At 44.1% G+C, this 9,201-nt stretch overlaps 1 pseudogene, besides 2 other annotated features; it reads right to left on the bottom strand.

Moving 5' to 3' along the window:
* RN7SL266P (RNA, 7SL, cytoplasmic 266, pseudogene) lies at positions 3,643–3,931 on the bottom strand (annotated as a pseudogene).
* Positions 7,967–8,749: an enhancer, noted in NCBI's record as "NANOG hESC enhancer chrX:112094284-112095066 (GRCh37/hg19 assembly coordinates)". NCBI's record gives its function as "activates a minimal SCP1, AML or CMV promoter by ChIP-STARR-seq in naive H9 embryonic stem cells {active_cell/tissue: H9 hESC(naive)}" and the evidence as "EXISTENCE:reporter gene assay evidence [ECO:0000049][PMID:30033119]".
* Positions 8,024–8,133: an enhancer, noted in NCBI's record as "active region_29864". NCBI's record gives its function as "activates an Ori minimal core promoter by ATAC-STARR-seq in GM12878 lymphoblastoid cells {active_cell/tissue: GM12878}" and the evidence as "EXISTENCE:reporter gene assay evidence [ECO:0000049][PMID:35858748]".

The following is a 9,201-nucleotide window of genomic DNA, read 5'->3' as shown; positions in this document are numbered from 1 at the left end:
AAAGCTAGGTCTGGAAAAAGATTGTTCCCTAAACTTAATAACCAAAAAATGCTGTTAGGAGCCTGGGTTCATTTGGACCCTGTGGGTTAAATTGTGTCACTAAAAAGATGTGTTGAAATCCTAATCCCAGTACCTGTGAACATGACCTATTTTGAAAATAGGGTCTTTGCAGATGTAATCAAGTTAAGATGAGGTCACTGGGGTAAGCCCTAATCCAAATATGACTAATGTCCTTTTAAGAAGAGGAGAAGAAACAGAGAGAGACACAGAGAGGAGAATCCCATGCAGAGACACAGAGACACACAGAAGGAAGACAGCCATGTAAAGATGGAGGCAGACATTGGAGTGATCCTGCCACAAGCCAAGGAATATCTGGGGTTACTTGTAGCTAGAAGAACCAAGGAAGAATCCTCCCCTAGGAGCTTCAGAGAGAACCTGGCCCTGCCAGCACCTTGATTTGGGGCTTCGGGCCTCTAGAACTGTGACAAAATAATTTCTGTTGCTTTAAACCACCCAGTTTGTCTCACTTAGTTATGGCAGCGCTAGAAAACTAATACCAGCCCTTACTTGGGAATCCAAAAGACATTTACCGAATAACTAACATGTGCCAGGCACTATGCTAAGCCCTGGGAAAATACAAAGATAAGACAGGCCATTTTCTTGCTTTAAAGCTGACTTCAGTTTTCTGTGATGGAGTAGGTAATTTCTAGGGCCCCACAGATGCCTTTCTCTGTCCTGTGACCTGCAACCATATCTAGTTTTTGTCTTATTTGCTCATGTATGCAGAGTATGTAAGTGCTTTAAAGACAAGATGTCTCCTGGCATTTCTGACTACTCTACATAATATTTATCCAAGAACACAGTCATTCAGACAGCTCCTTCTTCTTTTTAAGGTTCCAAGGGAAGGGGAATGGGGAAGGGGAAAGGGAGAAGGTTCCAGGATAGCTTTCATTTTATTTCCTGCCCATATATTTCCTGGTAAAGCCATATTACCAATGACATCTCCCCTGCTATAAAATGAGTAGCTCCTCACACACTTTATCAAACTCTGTACATGGACCACACTGTGGCACTGTTTCATTCCCAAAATTTAATAAAATACACAGTTCATTTTATATCACAATATGAGGCCTTCACCTCATGGTTTATGGTGTGAGTGTCTGTAGTGTACATATTTAAGACCAATTAAAAGTCTACCTCAGTAACAGAGCCTAGGCCTCATCACTTGGCGATATTGTGCTGCTATTATGTGAAGTCCTTGGCAAATTGATGAAATAGGCTGTATTTACCTTGATTTGATTCCCATATTCATGATTAGAGATCCCATTTTCTATCATGCTCTACCTTCTCCCCTCTGTTTACCCTAGTAAGGTGCTTCTTACCTTGGGTCTTTGTCATAGTCTTCCTTTGGCTGGCTGTGGTAACTTATAACACGGTGATGTCTTGAGATATGATCCCTCAGAAGAATCATTTATTTTTAAAGTGGGATATCTTAGAGGTGAAAAAAACCCTCGAATCTAGCTTACTGTATTCTTTACAAGGACCTTGTGAAGTGGATATTCACATGTTCATTTTTTTTTTTTTTTTGACATGGAGTCTCGCTCTGTCGCCCAGGCTAGAGTGCAGTGGCACAATCTCGGCTCACTGCAAGCTCTGCCTCCCGGGTTCACGCCACTCTCCTGCCTCAGCCTCCCGAGTAGCTGGGACTACAGGCTCCCGCCACCACGCCCGGCTAATTTTTTGTATTTTTAGTAGAGACCAGATGTTCCTCTGCGGGGATTCACCGTGATAGCCAGGATGGTCTCGATCTCCTGACCTCATGATCCACCCGCCTCGGCCTCCCAAAGTGCTGGGATTACAGGCGTGAGCCACCGCGCCTGGCCCACATGTTCATTTTAAAGAGCAGGAAACTGAGGGCCAGAGAACTGAAGTGACTTGCCCACGGGCAGAAAGCAGGAATGCGTCAAAGGTAGAACAAGCTCTTCATGCCTCTCTGATTTCCAGTCAGTACTCTTTCTTCTATACCACACTGCCTCATTTGACATGTTACAGATGGAAGGAATGCCTTCTATGTGCAGGATTCTGCCTTGAGCCTTATGGGATGATGCCGAAAAGGGTACAGTATGTCCATGCCCTCTAGCAACTTAGAACCTATTTTCCATCAAATCATATCATGCAGGCAGTGCCTCAAGACCAGACTATCTCATACCTTATCTTGCCCAAGTCTAAAGAACTCTCATTCTGAGTCACTCAGGTTGGGGGAAAGGGGGAGGTGGTTAACGATGCTTTCACTCAGATGCTTTCTTGTGACCGAAAGTCTGAAAATCTTTTTCCTTCTATACGCAATGTCTATTTTCCCCTGGGTGAGCAGTAGCCTTCTGTTAACTTCCAGCATCCTGTTGTGCTCTACCCTCCCAGGAAGTCAGCTATTTCTCCTGGTTAGGCTGGACTGTTTCTCTTTTGGAACAGAGATTCCTATCTTGCCAGGGCTTGCCCTCTCCAATGATGGGCAGTTTCTGTGGGACCTTCAGTGTGACTTTTTCTCTGTTCATGGCATCCCCTAATGTTCCACATAATAACATCTTCCCCATATTTTAAGTCCACTGCCACCTTCATGCTTTCTTTGCTCTGTACCTACCAAACCTGCTGTTTGGCAAATTGATGAAATAGGCTGTATTTACCTTGATTTGATTCCCATATTCATGATTAGAGAACCCATTTTCTATCATGCTCTACCTTCTCCCCTCAGTCAGGTACCTGACTCCATAAGGGGTCAGGTATCATCCCTTTATATGTCACTTTGAATATGTTTAAATTCATTCACCGATCTATTCCAATTACAAATACTTTAAAGGATGTAGATATTGTTAACAGAAAAAAAAGACACGGGCCCTTTCCTTCAAATAACTCATTTTCCTTTGGAAGAGACAAACAGACCATTACAATATAATGGAATGTGATTCCTTTTCTATTCAAAGTATGACTAGAGTACCACAGGGACCACAGAGGAACATCTGACCCACACTAGGAGGGTTCAGGAAGGGTTTCTCAAACAGGTTATGGTTAAGCTATCTTGAATGACAAGTAGTAAATAAAGAAGCAAAGAAGAGGTAAGAATTTCCAGAGAGAGAGTGTGCACACAATATGTGCTAAGGCACTGGGGCATGAGCAGGCACTTAAGGAAGGAGTAGCTGTTCTGTGTGAATGGAACACAAGGCATGAGTTGGAAAGAAAAGTGAGATATGCTAGAAGGCTTGTGAACCAAACTAAGGAGTCTGGGTTTTACCTCGAGAGGAATATGGGGCACTACTTAAGCCCTGTACATGGAGGAGTGGCAAGATTTAATCAATCACTAAAATATTCAATCAATATCTCTTCCTTACCACCCATATTTAATCAATCAGTAAAATATCTCAAATCTGTAAAATATCTCAAAGCTCTGAGGTATTTTAATGATTGATTGTGCATGGTGAGGAGGAGGGAAAGATTTTTGTAAATCTGTGTTTTGTGACCTCTCTGGGTAACTAGGCAATTAGTGGTACCATTCATGGAGATGAGGCATACAGACAGAGGCATAACAGATTAATGGGTAGCGATGGAGGCAGATTATATGTTTGGTTTTTATATATTCTTTTTTTTTTTTCATACAGGGTCTCTCTATGTTGCCCAGGTCTCTATATTGCCCACTACTTACAGGCGTGATCCCACTAGTGACCAGCACAGTAGTTTTTGGTCTGCTTCATTTCCGACCTGGGCTGATTCACCCCTCCTTAGGCCACCTGGTAGTCCCCAACTCCTGGGAAGTCACCATATTGATGCCAAACTTAGTGTGGACACCCAATCAGCATCGCATACTATGGCCCCGAACTCCTGGACTCAAGCAATACTCCCACCTCAGCCTCCTAAGTAGCTGGGACTTCAGATGTTCAGAAATGTTGAAATGTTGAAACTAGCACCTGTCTGGTTTTATACATTCTAATTTGAGGTGCCTATCAAACATTCAGAGGGTTCCAGTAGGCAGCTTGATACATGGATCTTGTAAGAGATCTAGCAGGTGGTATTGATTTTGGAATTATTAGCCACCATGTTCACTTGTCATTCTTTGAGGCCATAAGACATCTTTGGCTTCTGAATCTTCAAGAGCAGCTACCAGAGGCATTTTTAAGGGAGAGAAACTTCCAGGTATCTTTAAAACACTTTCATGGTCCTGCCACCTGCTGAATATGCACTACCAGCACAGTCTAGCTGCTCTTAACCCAGCATGGGTGTGTCGATTTGGCTGCAAAATCTGACATATACAGCAGTTAAGGTATTTTTCAGAGGATGGTAAAAGACTCAAGGAAGTCAAACTTTGTATTTGTCAGTCTTTCTCGCTAGTTAAATAGTGAGAGGTGACAGCATGCTGGCAGTCCTCACAGCCCTTGCTCGATCTCAGCACTTCCTCTGCCTGGGCTCCCACTTCGGCAGCACTTGAGGAGCCCTTCAGCCCGCCGCTGCACTGTGGGAGCCCCTTTCTGGGCTGGCCAAGGCCGGAGCCGGCTCCCTCAGCTTGAGGGGAGGTGTGGAGGGACAGGCATGGGCGGGAAGCGGGGCTGCGTGTGGTGCTTGCCGGCCAGCATGAGTTCCGGGTAGGCGTGGGCTCGGAGGACCCCACGCTGGGACTAGCCGGCCGGCCCCACCGCCCCGGGCAGTGAGGGGCTTAGCACCTGGGCCAGCAGCTGCTGTGCTCAATTTCTTGCCGGGCCTTAGCTGCCTTGCCGCGGGGCAGGGCTCGGGACCTGCAGCCCGCCATGCCTGAGCCTCCCACCCGCTCCGTGGGCTCCTGTGCGGCAGGAGCCTCCCCGATGAGCGCCGACCCCTGCTCCATGGCGCCCAGTCCCATGGACCACCCAAGGGCTGAGGAGTGCCGGTGGAGGTGCGGGACTGGCAGGCAGCTCCACCTGCAGCCCCTGTGCGGGATCCACTGAGTGAAGCCAGCTGGGCTCCTGAGTCTAGTGGGGAGGTGGAGAACCTTTATGTCTAGCTCAGGGATTGTAAATACACCAATCGGCACTCTGTATCTAGCTCAAAGTTTGTAAACACACCAATCAGCACCCTGTGTCTAGCTCAGGGTTTGTGAATGCACCAATTGACACTCTGTATCTAGCTATTCTGGTGGGGCCTTGGAGAACCTTTGTGTCTACACTCTTCATCTAGCTAATCTGGTGGGGACGTGGAGAACCTTTGTGTCTAGCTCAGGGATTGTAAACACACCAATCAGCGCCCTGTCAAAACGGACCACTCGGCTCTACCAATCAGCAGGATGTGGGTGGGGCCAGATAAGAGAATAAATGCAGGCTGCCGGATTCAGCAGAGGCAACCCACTCGGGTCCCCTTCCACACTGTGGAAGTTTTATTCTTTTGCTCTTTGCAATAAATCTTGCTACTGCTCACTCTTTGGGTCCACACTGCCTTTATGAGCTGTAACACTCACTGCGAAGGTCTGTAGCTTCACTTCTGAGCCAGCAAGACCACGAACCCACCAGAAGGAAGAAACTCCAAACGCATCTCAACATCAGAAGGAACAAACTCCAGACACGCCGCCTTTAAGAACTGTTAACACTCACTGCGAGGGTCCACGGCTTCATTCTTGAAGTCAGTGAGACCAAGAACCCACCAGTTCCGGACACAATAGCATGTATGCACCAAGGAGAACGAACAGAATAAATAAGATATTGTATACTCCTGGCGTTAGTCTTCTTGGTTCTTAATGGTCTATAAAGTCTTCCCAGCCTCTTGTTTATACACCCTCTAAACCATTCTGAACCACCACCAGGGTGCTCTGTAAAATACCACTCCCATCAGTCTCCAAAACCTCTGAAAGAACAAGTTCCAATTGCTCTAGTTGGCATTCAAGTTCCTCAAAAATTTGGTCCTAACTTACAGAGCTGAATTTAACTTTTCCTAACCTCTAACAAATTATCTGCTCCAACCAGGCCGGGCTGCTCACTTGTATTGCAAACAAACCAAACTTTTTCTGATTATAAGCCTTTGGTAATGCTATTATTCTATGAGGTTGGAAAGCTTTTCCCAACCTCTCTTCATAAAGTCATTCAAAGAATCTGCATTGAACACCTACTATGTACCTTCTTTGATACTCAAAGCTCATAATGATCTCTCTCTTCTCTATTACAAAAGGCATGGTTGCAGTGACCATTTATTCAGAATAAAGTAACAGTTTTATATTTTTTAATATACATAAATATTTAATATTAATTAAATATAAATTAATATTTAATTAATAATAAATATTAAATTAAAGCCATTCACTCATCAGGATTGTATTATAGAACCCCTTGCATAGTTATTTAAACATTTTGTCTCTCCAGCTATACTGGAATTTTTGGAGGTTTGGAGTCCAATTTTAGACTTCTTTGTACCCTACATGGCACCAATCACATGCTAGGTATTTAACAGTTATTCAGTAAGTATCTGTGTTTGGACTAATAGCTAATGTTCTTTGTTTGAGTCTGGCAACATTCTTTAGGTGTGGCCTACCCTGGTAACTAGGAAGGTAGTGCACAAGGAAAACCAATGAGAGTAAGATTAAATTCAGCAGAAAATACATTTTAACAGAGGAGATTAGCCCTTCTGCTGAGTAAGCTGAGCCCTAGTAAACTGATCCTGCCTTCTTCCAAAGAGCTATGGAAATAAATCACCTTGTGGGTGAAACAGAGTTAGTCTCCATTTGCAGGGGGATTTTAAGTGTCTCCATGGTTTAGTCGTCCACAAAAATCTCCCCATATTTAACATCTGCTCTGTCTTCAAATTACCCTGAGCATTTTTCTGAGACTGTGAAAATGAGCAAGGAGCTCTCACTTTCCGAAGTGTCCACAAAAGCCAAAAGGATATTAATTAGAGGCAGGAGGGGAGGGAGCAGGGAGCTGGTTTTACCGAAGGAAGTTACTTGCTGGGAAAGAAATGAAATGTGAGTTCAGGAGGTAGAACAGAAACCTTTTAAACTCTCCATGGCTAGACTGGAAACTGAATGCAAGGGATAGATAGAGATGGTAAAATGGGGCGATAAAAGTCAGAAGTTTCCTGTAACCTTGGAAGAGAAGGTGATAGGGTTAAAACTGCTTCAAACTCTGTTTTTGGATACTAAGGAAAACTCTAGAAGTCAACACACTTTTTCTGTAATGAACCAAACAGTAAATATTTTAGGCACTGTGAGCTACATATCTAGTCTCTGTTGTATAATCTTTGTTTCTTTTAACAACCCTTTAAAAATGTGTATACACACACACACACACACACACACACACACACACATATAGAGAGGGAGAGCTGAGGTTTCGCAAAAACCAGCCACTGGTGGACAGTAATTTCCCCAGTCTTGCTCCAGAAGATGGTGATTTTTTGTGTTAAATTCCAATTCCATTTCAACTTGAGGAATACTTACCGAGCACCTACTGCAAAAAGATCAACTATGCAAAGCCAGTGGTGGAAGCCCTCTATGATAAATATAAAGAGGATTCTGAATGAGGAAAAGACTAAACCTGGCAATAAACTAATCAGGGTTCCTCAGCCTGCAATAAGACAACTACTTCCAGCAGGAAGAACTAGCTCAAGACGGGGGCAGGTTTGAGTGAATCTAACAGTCTGTGCAAAAGCTATTCAAAGTGAAAAAAAAAAATGCTGAGTGCAATTTGAGCAGGACACTGAGCATCTGGCCAAATTAAAGCTGGGGAACTCCCTCAGGAGATTTCAGTGCAGACTCGAAAGCAGTCTGGAAGCTGGGGTCAAGGAGAGAGGCAAACGCTGAGAGTGTTTTTTGACCACAAAGGCGGGGGAAGTCCTGGGTTTTGTAATTACCAACCAGCTGACACCACTTTGGGAATAAGTGAAATCTCTGCAAAATGTAACTTACCTGCCTGGGATCAGTCTAAAATATCTTATAGGGTAGACTCTGATGGATGTAAAGAAACTATGCCTGAAAAATTGGAGTCTGGGGACCCTGGGAGTTCTGGTGCAAGGGAGGAAGAGGTTGGAAATGTTCCCTTTTCCCCTTCCCCCACAATAACCACTTTTCACTAGACAGGACAAAGCTGGCCTGAAGGTAGAAGCTACATAGTATCTAAAGAGCACCTGACAAGAAGCTTTTGAGAAGCCAAGGGAGTGGCTCCCCCTAGATACTGATTGAAAAGACCTAAGGGCAACAAGTCTTAAGCCAAGATCAACATGTCAAGAAGATAGGAAGAACAATGCTTTCCCCACCCACCGATAGCCCAGGGCTAGAGTGTTTAAGAAGGAATCAATGCTTGGTGCCTAATGGGGGGAGGAAGCGTTAGTGTGGGTGGTAACCATGCTAACCACAGGTGTCCTGAAAATAACCATCTATTTCAGTTTCTAAGTTGTTTTCACAACCATTGTTTGATCTAAAGCTTGCAAGCCAGTGAGGTACCAAGACATGACAGCAGTTATTCTCTCATTTTTAACAGACAAGGAAATTGAGACTCAGAAGGGTTAAGATGCTTGCCCAAGTGTGCACAGCTTGTAGATTGCAACACTACAGTCAAGTATCCTCCAAATCCAATGCTACTTTTACACCAAGGTGGGAAATGATTGGCAAATAACAACATTTTTAGGATAGGTGACCCTCTTGGGAGTTAAGAGTGAGTGGAATGCAGATGAATAATGGAAAGATAAGGACGGTGGAGTCAGGAAAAACAAGGCTTTCAGAGGCCTGGAAGTTTAAAAGGCTTTTAAATTAAAACAGTTCTGATTCCAGAGTCTGTGTTCCAAGGAAACAGAGAGTTGAGTTTACAAAAAAAAAAAAATTAAAATTAAAAAAAATTTGAGGGCTACCTGGGAAAGCTACTGAGATACAGTTAGGATGGCTTGTAGGGGTTTTCATCTAAGGCAGAGGAATACTCTAGAAGAGCAATGACTTTGCCTGATGACTTGACTACAGATGTTAGAAAAAAATAGCTTTGGCCGGGCGCGGTGGCTCATGCCTGCAATCCCAGCACTTTGGGAGGCCGAGGCAGGCGGATCATGAAGTCAGGAGTTCGAGACCAGCCTGACCAACATGGTGAAACCCCATCTCTATGAAAAAATATATATATACAAAAAAATAGCTTTGATTTTGGACTTAAACACAAAGTAGGATGGGGTATCTAAAAGGATGATAAAGAATTCATTTACACAAAAGCCTGCATC

This window comes from Homo sapiens, chromosome X (assembly GCF_000001405.40).
Source record: "Homo sapiens chromosome X, GRCh38.p14 Primary Assembly".
In the NCBI taxonomy this organism is placed as follows: domain Eukaryota; kingdom Metazoa; phylum Chordata; class Mammalia; order Primates; family Hominidae; genus Homo; species Homo sapiens.
The sequence above is the reverse complement of the archived record's forward strand: the minus strand, read 5'-3'. Positions and strand labels throughout refer to the sequence as shown.